Source organism: Homo sapiens, chromosome 8, assembly GCF_000001405.40.
Source record: "Homo sapiens chromosome 8, GRCh38.p14 Primary Assembly".
Taxonomy (NCBI): Eukaryota; Metazoa; Chordata; class Mammalia; order Primates; family Hominidae; genus Homo; species Homo sapiens.
The window spans coordinates 65640031-65655159 of record NC_000008.11 but is presented as its reverse complement, the minus strand read 5'-3'; the positions used below and the strand labels follow the sequence as shown (position 1 = coordinate 65655159).

At 42.6% G+C, this 15129-nt stretch overlaps 1 protein-coding gene across 26 annotated transcripts in view, besides 3 other annotated features; it reads right to left on the bottom strand.

Annotated features, from left to right (window-relative positions):
• MTFR1 (mitochondrial fission regulator 1) overlaps window positions 1–11271 on the bottom strand; it is a 134710-nt gene extending 123439 nt beyond the window's left edge. For 22 of the 26 annotated variants that reach the window (NR_182101.1, NR_182102.1, NR_182100.1 and 19 more), the window contains exon 1: window positions 10376–10426. The gene's annotated coding sequence lies outside the window, so the exon portion shown is untranslated. Of the gene's footprint in view, window positions 1–5620; window positions 5935–8664; window positions 10427–11183 lie in introns of those variants that run through there. The other 4 variants (XM_006716484.3, NM_001413068.1, NM_001413081.1 and 1 more) reach the window with 3 other exon arrangements.
• Window positions 9917–10176: a silencer, noted in NCBI's record as "silent region_19245". NCBI's record gives its function as "represses an Ori minimal core promoter by ATAC-STARR-seq in GM12878 lymphoblastoid cells {active_cell/tissue: GM12878}" and the evidence as "EXISTENCE:reporter gene assay evidence [ECO:0000049][PMID:35858748]".
• Window positions 10337–10386: an enhancer, noted in NCBI's record as "active region_27462". NCBI's record gives its function as "activates an Ori minimal core promoter by ATAC-STARR-seq in GM12878 lymphoblastoid cells {active_cell/tissue: GM12878}" and the evidence as "EXISTENCE:reporter gene assay evidence [ECO:0000049][PMID:35858748]".
• Window positions 13338–13397: an enhancer, noted in NCBI's record as "active region_27461". NCBI's record gives its function as "activates an Ori minimal core promoter by ATAC-STARR-seq in GM12878 lymphoblastoid cells {active_cell/tissue: GM12878}" and the evidence as "EXISTENCE:reporter gene assay evidence [ECO:0000049][PMID:35858748]".

The window sequence follows — 15129 nt, the reverse complement described above, 5'->3', positions numbered from 1 at the left end:
AACCCCACAGTGATTGACACAGAATATTTTAAGCAGCCACATGCAGATGAATTAAGTACTGAGGCATAAATTTTAAAATAATCTTTTGAAAACACTATTCAAATATCTTAAGTGATCCTGGGCTGGACATCAGTAGAAGCAAATAAAGTACTTGGCAGTCAACAATGACTAAAAATGTTGCCCTTAGGCCCAAGGAAGTGATGAAAAATCACTATAAAGTTGATGTTGATAAGTTGTGTAATAGTTACTGTCCCCTGCATATTATGTGTATAAAAAATTGCCAGGCCAGGCACGGTGGCTCACACCTGGAATCTCAGCATTTTGGGAGGCTGAGGCAGGAGAACTATTTGAGCCAGTAGTTCAAGACCACCCTGGGCAACATAACAAGACCCCATCTCTACAAAAAATTTAAAAATTAGCTAGGCACAGTGGTATGCACCTGTAGTCCTAGCTACTCAGGAGGCTGAGGCAGAAGGATCGCTTGAGCCCAGGAATTTGAGGTTACAATGAGCTATCAGTGCGCCACTGTACTCCACTCTGGGTAACAGAGTGAAACTGTCTCAAACACAACACAACACACAAAAAAATTGCTTTAATGGAAGAACTCAGTAAATTATACCTTTCTCCAAGGAGAAAGATGTTTAGTTTTTGAAAGCTGGCAAGGGTATTCACTGAAACATTACTGTGAAAGAGAAAATCCAAAGGTAATCTAAATGACCATCAATAGGGAAATGGTTAAAATTAATTCAATAAATTAAATATGCCCATTCTAAGTTTACAGCCATTAAAACAAAAAAGATAGAGCCATACATGAAACAATTTTCATAATAAAATGCTGAATGAAAAAAGTTACAAATACATATTAATTCCATTAAAAATAACTAAAAAACAATAAAGTAACAGAAACAGTGGTGAAATAGAGGAAAGATCTGAAAACTTACCAAAACTTAACACTTACTATATCTGAGGGCTTGGTGGTGAGACCCTCCACTTTTATTATACACTTATGCACTCCTGTATTGTTTGTATGTTTTCTTTCCCCCCAATAGGATACATGTACTACTTTTGTGATTTTCCTTTTTTTTTTTTTTTTTTGAGAGACAAAGTCTCACTCTGTCACCCAGGCTGGAGTGCAATGGCACCATCAGAGCTCACTGCAGCCCTAAGCTCCCGGGCTCAAGTGATCCTCCTGCTTCAGCCTCCCAAGTAGCTAGGACTATAGGCATATCATCACATCCAGCTAACTTTATACTTTTTTGTAGAGATGGGGTCTCACTATGTTGCCCAGGCTGGTCTCAAACTCCTGGCTTCAAGTGATTCTCCCACCTTAGCCTCCCAAATTGCTGGGATTACAGGCATGAGCCACCATACCCAGCCTACTTTTGTAATTTTTAAAGACTAGTAACATTTTCTAAATTAAATAACTGAAATCTAAAAAGTAAAAACATAAAAATTATTCTAATTTGGACCATCTAAGTAAATAATAAACATTAGCAATATATAAACTTTGGGAACCCTTACAGGCTATACTAGTATTTCTCAACTTCAAACCTTCATACTTGGTTTATGAGTTTTGTCATATCTGGATGCTCTTAATGTTTTAATTTAAATTAACTGTTTTTTTCTTTCTTTCTTATTTTTATTTTTTGAGACAGAGCCTTGCTCTGTTGCCCAGGCTGGAGTGCAGTGGCACGATAACAGCTAACTGCAACCTCCACCTCCCGGGGTCAAGCGATTCTTGGGCCTCAGCCTCCCGAGAAGCTGGGATTACAGGTGCAGACCACCACGCCCAGCTAATTTTTGTATTTTTTGTAGAGACGGAGTTTCACCACACTGGTCAGGCTGGTCTCGAACTGCCTGGTGATCGAGGTGATCCACCCACCTCGGCCTCCCAAAGTGCTGGGATTACAGGCGTGTGCCACTGTGCTCGATCTTAAATAAACTCATTTTTTAAAAATTAAATAAACTTAGCCTCATGCCAAGCAATAATACTGATGCAATCAAAGTTTGTTCCAGGATATACTTTAAAGTACTTAACTATACATTGTACTCCCTATCTGAGCCAAAACAGACAGAAAAGGATATCTTGACTAAAATAAATACAAAGTTGATTCTTGTTCCACCTAAAATCATCTCTTTAGGAAAGCAGTTTACCCTCCTGCCTGTACACATTATACACTTGTCCTTCAGTATCCACAGGGGATTGGTTCCAGGAATCCCATGGACACCAAAATCTACAGATGCTCAAGTGCCTTATATAAAATGGCATAGTAAAAAGTCCTAGCTAGAGCAATCAGGCAAGAGAAAGAAATAAAGGACATCCAAATAGGAAAGGAAGAAGTCAAATTATCCTTGTTTACAGATGATGTAATCTTGTATTTGGAAAAACCTAAAGACTCTACCAAAAAACTATTAGAACTGATAAATTCAGTAAAGTTACATGATGCAAAGTCAACATCCAAAACTCAGTAGCATTTCTATATGCCAACAGTGAACAATCTGAAAAACAAATCAATAAATTAATCCCATTTACAATAGCCACAAATAAAATTAAATACCTAGGAATTAACCAAAGTGAAATCAAAGTGAAAGATATCTACAATGAAAACTCAAAAGCAATTTAAGAGGGTCAGGGTGGTGGCTCATGCCTGTAATCCCAGCACCTTGGGAGGCCAAAGCAGGAGGATCACTTGAGCTCAGGAGTTTGAGACCAGCCTGGATAACATAGGGAGACCCACCTCTACAAAAAAACAAAAAATTAAGGGCTAGATATGATGGCTCACAGCTGTAATCCCAGCACTTTGGGAGGTGGAGGCAGAGGCAGGAGGATCACTTGAGGCCAGGAGTTTGAGACCAGCCTATATTTTTGTACTAAAAAATACAAAATTTGCCGGGTGTGGTAATGCACACCTGTAATCCCAGCTACTTGGGAGGTTGAGGTACGAGAGTTGCTTGAACCTGGGAGGCAGAGGTTGGAGTGAGCTGAGATAGCACCACTGCACCCCAGACTCCAGCCCGGGCGACAGAGTGGGACTTCGTCTCAAAAAAAAATTAGCCAGGCATGGTGGCATGTGCCTGTAGTCCCAACTACATGGGAGGCTGAGGCAGGAGGGCCTCCTGAGCCCATGAGCTGTGATCATGCCGCTGCACTCCGGCCTGGATGATAGAGCAAAACCTTGTCTGAAAAAAAAAAAAATTAAAGGGGGCACACACAAGGAAAAAATATTCCATGTTCATGAACTGGAAAAGTCAATATTGTTAAAAGGTCCATACCACCCAAAGCAATCTACAGATTCAATGAAATATCTATCAAAATGTCTATCAAAATATCAATGACATTCTTCACAGAAATAGAAAACATAATCCTAAAATTTATATGGAACCACAAAAGACCCAGGATAGCCAAAGCTATCCTGAGCAAAAAGAAAAAAACTGGACTTCAAATTATACTACAGGGCTATAGTAACCGAGACAACATGGTCGTAGCATAAAAACAGACACATAGACCAATGGAACAGAGTAGAGAACCCAGAAATCAATCCATAGGTCTACAGTAAACTCATTTTTAACAAAGGTGCCAAGAACATACATTGGGAAAAGACAGTCTCTTCAATAAATGGTGCTGGGAAAACTGGATATCCACATACCGAAGAATGAAACTACAACCCATCTCTTGCCATATACAAAAATCAAATCAAAATGGATTAAAGACTTAAATCTAAGACCTCAAACTATGAAACTACTGCAAGAAAACACTGGGGGAAACTCTCCAGGACATTGGTCTGGGCAATGATTTCTTGAATAGCACCCCACATGGGGTATTAGGCAATCAAAGCAAAAAAAGGACAAATGAGATCACATCAAGTCAAAAAGCTTCTGCATAGCAAATGAAATAATCAATAAACTGAAGAGACAACCCACAGAACGGAAAAAAAATTTGCAAACTATTCACCTGACAAGGGATTAACAACCAGAATACATAAGTAGCTCAAACAATTCAATAGGAAAGAAATCGAATAATCTAATTCAAAAATGGGCAAAAGATCTGAATGGACATTTCTCAAAAGAAGACTTACAAATGGCAAACGGGTATATTAAAAAAGTGCTCCAATCATCAGAGAAATGCAAATCAAAACTACAATGACATACCATCTCACCCAGTTAAAATGGCTTATATTCAAAAGACAGCCAAGAATGAATGCTGGCAAGGATGTGGAGAAAAGGGATCCTCATATCCTGTTGGTGGGACTGTAAATTTGCTCAACCACTATAGAGAACGGTTTGGAGGTTCCTCAAAAAACTAGAAATAGAGCTACCATATGACTCGTCAATCTCACTGGTAGGTATAGACCCAAAAGAAAGGAAATCAGTATATTGAAGCAATATCTGCCGTGCCATGTTTGTTGCAGAGCTATTCACAACAGCCAGGATTTGGAAGCAACTAAATAAATGTCTATCAACAGACAAATGGATAAAGAAAATGTGATACATATACATAGCGGAGTACTATTCAGCCATTAAAAAGAATGGGATCCTGTCATTTGAAAATAACATGAATGGAACTGGAGGATATTATGTTAAGCGAAATAAGCCAGGCAGAAAAAGACAAACTTCACATATTCTCACTTATTACGGGACCTAAAAATTAAAACAACTTAACTCATGCAGATAAGAGTATAAGGATGGTTGGCTAGGCGCGGTGGCTCACACCTGTAATCCCAGCACTTTGGGAGGCCAAGGAAGGTGGATCACAAGGTCAGGAGTTCAACATCAGCCTGGGCCAAAATGGTGAAACCCCGTCTCTACTAAAAATACAAAAAATTAGCTGGGCATGATGGTGGGCGCCTGTAATCCCAGCTACTCGGGAGGCTGAGGCAGAGAATTGCTTGAACCTGGGAGGCGGAGGTTGCAGAGTAAAACTCTGTCTCAAAAAAAAAAAAAAAAAAAAAGAGTATAAGGATGGTTACCAGCAGTCTGGCCAACATGGCATAGCCCTGTCTCTACTAAAAATACAAAAATTAGGCTGGGCATGGTGGCTCACAGCTGTAATCCCAGCAGTTTGAGAGGCTGAGGTAGGCAGATCACCTGAGGTCGGGAGTTCGAGACCAGTCTGGCCAACGTAGTGAAACCCCATCTCTACTAAAAATACAAAAATCAGCCGGGCGTGGTGGTGGGCGCCTGTAACCCCAGCTACTTGGGAGGCTGAGGCAGGAGAATCGCTTGAACCCAGGAGGCAGAGGTGGCAGTGAGCCGAGATCACGCCACTGCACTGCAGCCTTGGTGACAGAGCGAGACTCCATCTCAAAAACAAAACAAAAAAACCCAAAAGGATGGTTATCAGGTGCTGCAAAGGACAGTGTGGGGGGGTGGGGGGAGATGGAGTAGGGATGGTTAATGCATACAAAAATACAGTTAGAATGAATAAGACCTAGAATTTGATAGCATCACAGGATGACTATAGCCAACAATAATTTATTGTACATTAAAAAATAACTAAAAGTATAATTGGATTGTTTGTAACACAAAGAAAGGATAAATACTTGAGGTGGATACCCCATTTACCATTTACCCTGATGTGATTATTACACATTATATGCCTGTATTAAAATATCTCACGTACCCCATAAATACATATACCTATTATGTACCCACAAAAATAAAAATAAAGATAAAATGGGCCAGGCGCGGTGGCTCACACCTGTAATCCCAGCACTTTGGGAGGCTGAGGCGGTGGATCACCTGAGGTCAGGAGTTCAAGACAGCCTGGCCAACATGGTGAAACGCTGTCTCTCCTAAAAATACAAAAAATTAGCAGGTCGTGGTGGCGGGGTCCTGTAATCCCAGCTACTCGGGAGGCTGAAGCTGGAGAATCACTTGAACCTGGGAGGTGGAGGTTGCAGTGAGCCGAGATCGTGTGTGCCATTGCACTCCAGCCTGGGAAACAAGAGCAAAACTCCATCTCAAAAAAAAAAAGAAATATAAAATGATACAGTATTTCCATATAACCTATACACATCCTCCCATATACTTGAAGTCATCTGTAGATTACTTGTAATACCTAATATAATGGAAACAGTTGTCTACTGTATTGTTTTATTTGTATTGTTTCTTATTGTCATATTGTTATTTTATCATTGTTTTTTCAAATATTTTCTATCTGCGGATACAGAACCTATGAATCCAGAAGGCCGACTATATATCAAATCGGCCATTTCAAAAAGTAACCAAGGGAGGGAGGTGAAAAAAATTAATAAAATATCTTAGAGCTATGATAGCATCACTGCACTCCAACCTGGCAACAAAGAAAGACTCTGTCCCTAAAAAAAAATCTTAAATGTTTAAAAAGATCTTAGTTATACTGCTTTATATATATATTTATATGTACATTACAATGTATGTTTTTTCAATCATGGAAACTTAACTTTCCTGTTTAACTTGTCTGACTGTTTACATTTTAACCACAACCAACTCACACCAGTCAACTCCAGTTGTACAAATTATACGTTAAATGATATCTCCCGGTGGAGTCGGAGCAGAAAAAAAATTTTTTAATGATATCAACTATTTACACAAAACAATTTATTTGGTAAAAATGACTTGCAGATTGACTGGTTGACAATAACTTCAGTATCATAAATGAAGGAATTGTTTCAGAGGTGGAATGTTCTGGTCCCTAAAACAGCAGCCCTGAGTGCTCTCCCAGCTGACATATTTTTCATTTTACTAGCCACTCTGAAGATTTTGAGAAGAGCCATGTAATTGAGAAACCTATTTGCAACTTAATGTAACAAATGGTTTATATCCCTAATGAATATAAAGTGCTTGCAAATAAAGAAACAAATGGGCCAGGCATGGTGACTCACGCCTGTAATCCCAGCACTTTGGGAGGCCGAGGTGGGCGAATCACGAGGTCAGGAGATCGAGACCATACTGGCTAACACAGTGAAACCCCGTCTCTACTAAAAAATAGAAAAAATTAGCCGGGCTTAGTGGCGGGCGCCTGTAGTCCCAGCTACTCAGGAGGCTGAGGCAGGAGAATGGAATGGCGTGAACCCGGGAGGCAGAGCTTGCAGTGAGCCAAGATCGCACCACTGCACTCCAGTCTGGGTGACAGAGCGAGACTCCATCTCAAAACAAACAAACAAACAAACAAACAAACAAATGATCAAAAGCCCAATGGAAAAATAGGCATAGTACGTCAGTAGGCATTTTACAAGTAGAAATACAAACAGAAAATAAAATGTGAAAAATGTCCAACAGTAATCAAATAAATGTTAACTAAAACTGTTATCACCTTTTCCCCATCAAGTGGTTATCTTTAAAGGGTAGGATTATAGTGTCATTTTTTTTTTTGTTGCTTATCTAAATTGTGTAATTTCTATCAATAGTATCTAATAAATATATAAAAGAATAGTTCAGTAGCTGGGCAGTAATTACCACTTCAAAGAACAGTGATACAGTAAAAACTCATCACCAACTCATCACCAGGATGGCCCAAGAAAACAAACCCATGGAAAATGAAGTCTATCATCACTTCAAAACGTACTATAGGCCAGACATGGTGGCTCACACCTATAATCCCAGCACTTTAGGAGGCTGAGGCAGTTGGATCAACTGAGGTCAGGAGTTCAAGACCAGCCTGGCCAACATGGTGAAACTCTGTCTCTACTAAAAATACAAATTAGCTGGGCGTGGTGGCCTACGCCTGTAATCCAGCTACATGGGAGGCTGAGGCAGGAGAATCGCTTGAACCCAGGAGGCAGAGGTTGCAGTGAGCAGAGATCACACCACTGCACTGCATCCTGGGCAACAAGAGTAAAACTCCATCTCAAAAAAAACAGAAACAAAAACAAAAAAAATCCTACTATATACCATTCTCTTTTCTCTGTTTCAGGCTGTATTCTCTGTCTGGTCCTTTCCTCATATCCATAAATTTGCCAGTTCCCCACGTCTATTTCCTTTATATTTATCAGGTCAACCAACTGCTAATCCTTTCACATGACTGGTAAAGCCACCTTTGACAGTACCAGCTATCTTCCTGTATCTATCTTCCTGTAAGATAACTTTGATCATGTCACTTCTTTGCTCATTAAGTTTAAACTCTTTAAGTGGCACTCAAGTTCCTTCACAAAGGATTCTGACCTGACTTCTGGACTTCTGAATTACTCCTATCCAGTAGGATTCCTAAACTCCAAGCTAATAGTCCTTCTCTACTGTCCTTTGAATAAGTAGAGGAGGCCCAGCTGTTTCTATCTCATTCCTTATTCATCTAACACTATTTGGATGAAGATGTTGTCTTAGTAGTTTAAGATTGGGAGGATGAAGGATATAGATGAAATATTTAGTATTAATATCCAATATATGCTATGTGCTAAAGGAGTGGTAGAGGCTATTCATTGATGTATATTTTCCTTTTCTCTCTAACTGGTTACATATTAAAGAATAAAATGTTTATTTTACTTTTATTTTTTAAATACAGTGTCACACTATATTGCCCAGGCTGGTCTCAAGGGGTCCTCTTGCCTCGGCCTTTGCAAAGTGCTCGGCTGAGCCATGCATCTGGCCAAGAATAAAATTTTTAGCACTTGTATTTGTTGAGCTATGTTTTCTCAGGACATCAAATTTAGTTGTAATAATCTTTAACTTTTCAAAGAACAAACATACCTCTCTCACTATTGTTTGTATTTGTGTAAATTTTCAGGCTTTTTTTTTTCCATTACTGATTTGTGGCTTAACAGAAATAATTTTCCACAGCAGTTCCATTTATTCCACAACTCCTAGGACATTGTTACAGTTAAAAGAGCAAGAACTTTGCAATGACAAAGGCCAAGAGTAGCATTCTGAATTCTACCCCCACCCCCATCCTTTCAGCAGTGTGACTTCAGGTAAATTGTGACCTCTCCAAATTTCTTTCTCCTAACTCTAACATGGGGATAATAATACCTACTTCATAGGGTTATTGCAAAAATTAAATGAGTAGGTGGAAACAACTTCACAGTCCTTCATACATACTAAGAACTCGACAAATAGAAATTATCAATACAATTATTACTATTCAAAAGCAAGAGCACTACTGTCTAGATTATCTGGTAACTCTGATTTTGAAAACCTGAGCACAAGATAATGAAACTGCACTGTAGCAGTTACCTAAATTCTGGTAGTACAAACTAAATGAGCACTGTCTACACTTTAATATGTCCCTTATTTTACTTGACCCCTCTAGAAAGCAAATTATTATATGTATGATTATTCATCATGACAGAGGCATAGAAATATGTAAAATAATTGAAATTATATAATGTCTGGGATTTGCTTCAAAATAACCCAGGATAGCCGGGTGCGATGACTCCCGCCTGTAATCCCAACACTTTGGGAGGCCAAGGAGGGAGGATCGCTTAAGCCAAGGAGTTCAAAGATAGCCTGAGCAACATAAGGAGACCCCATCTCTACAAAGGGGGGGGGGGGGGAAAGCCGGGCGTGATGGCGCCTGCCTGTAGTCCCAGCTAGTGGGGAGGCTGAGGCGTGAGGATCGCTGGGGCCCAGGAGGTGGAGGCTGCAGTGGGTAGAGATCCCGCCACTGCACTCCAGCCTGGGTGACAGAGACCCTGTCTCAAAAACGCAAAATAACCCGGATTAGGGGAGCAAGACTGCCCACGTATTGATAATTACTGAAACTGGGTAATGAGTACAGTGAATTCCTTATATCCTTCGTTCAATTTCTCCACAGTTTGAAGATTTCCATAATAAAATGCTGCTGTTGTTAATGCCCAAAGGCCGGCTTTGGGGTTTCCTGCAAACCCTGGTCATGGTCAGAAGATACACTGGGAAGTTCTAGGAGGCGAAAAGCGACACAGCAACCACAGGAAGCTGGTTAAACTTCCCGGCGGATCAGCCAGCGCACTGCTCCTCCCGGAGGCCGGCTGGCGGTGCACCCGCGCAGTCCGGCTCCTGAGCCCGTTAAGGGCGCAGCACCCAAGGGAGCCGCCGCGAAGGGCGGTCTCCCCAGGACCGCCGCCTGGCGGCCGGCGCGGGAACCGGGGGTCCGAAAGATGGACCGAAGGTCGGGGGAGGGGGCAGGAGGTGTAGGGGTAGATTGGCGGGTGGGCGAGTCTCAGCCTTCAGGGCAAGTCAGCCGACTTCCCTCAGCTCCTCCGGAGCCCCCGACCCACGCGCCCTCAGCCGAGGCAGTCTCTGCCTCCCGGCCGCGGGGCAAACACTCAACCGGCCCAGGATCCCGCCGGCCTCCCTGCGTTCCCGAACCGAGCTCCTTCAGCTCCTGTTCTGACTGTTTCCAGGGCATCCCATCGCCGTCAGGCCTGCAGCCGACTTCATCACCCGCTAGCCAACCGCTTTTCCGAGTTCCCACCCTACTCACCTCGGCCGCGCGGCAGCCAGCACCCTCTCCGGCTCCTCAGGCTTCTAGCTTGGCTGTCCCGTGGCGTTGCTGCCAATCAGCCAATCCCCGCCCCAAGCCTGAGCCAGGCTGATCAATCAGCTGTTTCCTCAGGCTCGGAGGCGGGCACAAGAAGCTCGGCAGAGGACGCGGCAACCGCTCCGCAAGCCGGCTGCTGAGAGTCACAGTCGGTGTGCGCACGCGCGGAGCTCTGAGAGGGGCGTGTGCTTTTGTGCGGACCTTGCTTTGTGCCTTCACCGTCCTGTCCTGGGAAGTGCTTTTGTCAGCTTCATGCTTTAGGGGTTTAGGGACACCCACATTCTGAATGTAGCCGCAGATGTGTATTACCTTGAAAAAGGCTGCGAGTCGTAAGCTTTTGTTAACCTAACATGTGGAGCCCATTTCACCCCACGCTGTAGGGACCTGTGTCCACCCGGCAGATCTAATGCCTATGCGGACCTCACATCCGAGATGTTTCTCTTTAGGCAGAGCAGGAGTGCGGGGATTACAAAGTGCCTCATGGATAAGTATTTTACTTTACCATGTTCGGTTCCAGCGTCTGTTCAGTCCGATTCATTTGGGGCACGTGCTTTCTAAAGATTTGAATACTCTAGGACACTCTGGATTTCAAATAATTGTCGTGAAAATATGATTATTACATTTCTAGCTAACTTATGCAGTGTAGTAATGTGCGTAGGCGTGATGAAAGATTCCTATGTAGGGTAGGAAACCTGTCCGTATTTTTGTATGGCTTTTGAAGAGGCTGTTGCTGATTGGCTGTCTCTCTTACCCTCCCATTGCAATTGATCCCGGAGGTCGCTGGGCTGTCACTGGATCTCTGATGTTCTTGCCCCGGGTGGCACAAGTCTCTTCCTAGTGAGGGCTTTCCTCCTTCACCCAGAGCATTAACTCATTTACTCAACAACGGCTTGTTGGGGGACAACTATGACAGCAGAAAGGTTGTTAAAAGCCTTGAGCCACGCCCTAAGTGAGCCTACAAGATAACGAGGAGATAACACAAACTAAACAAAAACACAAACTTAATCAAATATTATAATGGAATCGAGGTGGGAGCCTGGGCGCCTCCATAATGTCTCAGGGAATACTTCCTGAGAAGTGAGTGCTTGTCTGAGGCTGAATGAAAGAGCAGGAGCTTTGGAGCCGAAAGGGTGGGAGCAATGGACGGTGGCGATTCTGTCAAAGGGCACTAATTTCTTCCTCTGAGATCTTTCCGGAGGGTATTTACTGCTAAGCTAATGAAGCTTGTGTTTCAGGCACGCTGGCTTTCGCCAGCCTTTCCAAAGTCCATAGAGGAACTTTAGCATCGAGTTTACGAGATTATATGTTGTTTCCTACTTATTTATTAAAAGGAAAATGTCTTAAAGCACCCCTCAAAGAGGCATGGGTTAAGACCTGTCTTTTTTGTTTTTTTTTTTCCTTTCCAACTTCCCTTCCTTCATACTTCCTTTCATGCTAGATACGCTGGAGTGGCCTTGGACATTTTGGGGATCTAGGTGGGGAAAAGAGAGTTGAATTGAACTTGGGCCACTTCGTGATAAGTTACTGCTGTCTTTCCTGGTGCTGGATTGGCTTCGAGCAAGACATGCTCTGCCAACTCACTCAGTGCTATGATACAGGGATGGGTCCCTTGGCACCTGGCCCTAGAAGTATGTGGCTAGTGGAGGAGAAAGAAAGTTTGAGGCCAGGCGCGGTGGTGCATGCCTGTAATCCCAGCAATTTGGGAGGCTGAGGCAGGTGGATCACTTGAGGTCAGGAGTTTGAGACTAGCCTAGCTAACATGGTGAAGCCCCGTCTCCGCCAAAAATACAAAAAAGCTGAATGTGGTGGCACGTGCTTGTAATCCCAGCTACTCAGGAGGCTGAGGCAGGAGGATTGCATGAACCCGGGAGGCAGAGGCTGCAGTCAGCGGAGACCACGCACACCAGCCTGGGCGACCAAGCGAGACTCTGTCTCAAAAAAAAAAAAGGGCTGGACGCAGTGGCTCACGCCTATAATTCCAGCACTTTGGGAGGCCGAAATGAGCGGATTATTTGAAGTCAGAAGTTCGAGACCAGCCTGACGAATATGGTGAAACCCTGTCTCTGCTAAAAATACAAAAAAAAAAAAAAAAATTACCCGGGCTTCATGGCGGGTGCCTGTTCCCAGCTACTCGGGAGGCTGAGGCAGGAGAATCGCTTGAACCCGGGAGGCGGAGGTTGCAGTGGGCCGAGATCACGCCACTGCACTCTACACTCCAGCCTGGGTGACACAGCAAGACTCTGCCTCAAAAAAAAAAAAAAAAAAAAAAAGAGAGAGAAAGAGAGTTTGAAATGCACTAAGCCAGAAGCTAATCTAGGGGAGATCTTCTGGTCATCACGCTTCTAAAATTGTAAGCAGGATGCTTTGCTTTTTGTTTTTAATTAACTACTTTAGAATTATTTTAGATTTACAGAAAAGTTAAGAGTACGTAAAGTTCCTGTCTACTCCTCACCCAGTTTCCCTAATGTTAACATCTTACATTACCATGATACACTTACAAAACTAAAGAGCCAGCCAGGCGTGGTGGCTCACACCTGTAATCCTAACACTTTGGGAGGCCAAGCTGGGAGGATCATTTGAGCCCAAGAGTTCAAGACCAGCCTGAGCAATAAAGTGAGACCCCATCTCTATTTTTTAAATAAATAAATAAATAAAAGGAAAAAACAAAAAAACTAAAGAGCCAATATTGGTACATTACTATTTACTAAACTCCAGACCTCATTTGGGTTTCAGTAAGGTTATTTTTCTGTTTCAGGATCTAATCTAAGATGCCACACTGCATTTAGTCATCAAGCCTCCTTAGTCTCCTCTGATCTGTGACCGTTTTTCAGTCTTTTCTTGTTTTTCATGACCCTGATATGACCATGACAGTTTTGAAGTTTGGTCAGGTATTTTGTAGAACGTCCCTCGATTTGTGTTTGTCTGATGTTTTTCTCATGATTAGACTGTGGTTATAGGGTTTGGGGAAAACATCACATGATGAGATGACCTTCTCATCACATTATGTCAGAGGATACATGCTATCACCCCACCTTATTACTGGTGAGGCTCACACATGGTAATATTTGCTAGTTACTCCACTATAAAGATGTATTTTCCCACTTTCCATATTCGTTTCTTTGAAAACAAGTCACTAAATACTGCTCACACTCAAGTGGAACAGGGGATTAAACTTCAACTTCTGGAGTGGACAATCTATAAGCCTTATTTGGAATTCTGTGAGGAAGATTTGTCTTTCCTCATTTATTGATTTATATTCGATCATTTATTTATATAGACATATAGACTCTTGTATATTTATTTTATACTTTGTTTCATAAGTATACTATGATTTTTACTGTTACTCAAATTGTTTCAGCTTTGGCCATTGGGAGTTATTTTAACTAGGTTCATGTGGTCCTTTTGTTTTTTGATTATCTCCTTTTTTCTGGAACTATAAGATGCTCTGTGCTTATCTTGTATTTTTCCTTACCCAGCCCTAAAATCAGCCATTTCTTCAAGGAGTCCTGGAATGGTATTTAGAAACCAAGATTTAGGTACTGGATGATCTCATTGCTACTGGGATATCACTTAATTTATTATTTTATTTTATTTTTTATGGAGATGGCATCTTGCTGTGTTGCTTAGGCTGGCCTCAAACTCCTGGGCTTAACTGATCCTTCTGCCTTGGCCTCCCAAAATGCTGGGATTACAGGCATGAGCCACCATGCCAGGCCCAGGATATTGTTGAATTTAGCTTCTCTTATAAGACAGAGCTAGGAAATATATTACCACCTTGTTTTTTAATTCTTTGTTTACATCTCTGTGATAGTCAGCCTCTAAGGTGACCCCCAGTGATCCTTGACTCCTGGTATTCATGCCCCTTGTATAATCCCCTCTCCTTGAGCATCGACTTGCTTCTAGTGAATAGAATACAGCGAGAATGAAAGGATGTCATTTCTAGGTTAGGTTACAAAAAGATTGTGGCTTTCATTCTGTTTGCTCCTTCTAGCTCTCCTTCACGTGCTCTGAGGAAAGACAATGTCATATGTGAGCTGCCCTAAGGAGAAGCCCCTGTGGCAAGAAACTGAGGGAAGCCTCTGACCAACACTCAGCAAGGAACTAAGGCTCTCCTTCCATCAGCTATGAGAAACTGAGTCCTACTAACGGCCATGTGAGGCGAGCTTGGAAAAATAGCCTCTCTCACTCAACCCTTGAGATGACTGAAGCCCTGGCTGACCTCTTGATAGCAGCCTTTTGAGAGATCTGAGCCGGAGGCACCCAGCTAAGCTGCACATGGATGCCTGATGCACAGAAACTATAAGCTAGTAAATTATTATTGTGTTAAGTTGACAACTTTTGTAGAAATGTATTAGGAAGCGATATACAGGACGGGCACGGTGGCTCACACCTGTAATCCCAGAACTTCGGGAGGCCAAGGCGGGAGGATTGCTTGAGCCCAGGAGTACAAGACCATCCTGGGCAACATAGTGAAACCTCATCTCTAGAAAAAAATATACGTAAGGGCTCGGTGTCGTGGCTCACACCTGTAATCCCAGCACTTGGGGAGGCTGAGGCAGGTAGATCACTTGAGTTCAAGAATTTGAGACCAGCCTGGTCAACATAGTGAAACCCTGTCTCTACTAAAAATAAAAAAAATTAGCCAGGCGTGGTGGCAGGCGCCTGTAATCCCAGCTACTCTGGAGGCTGAGGCAGGA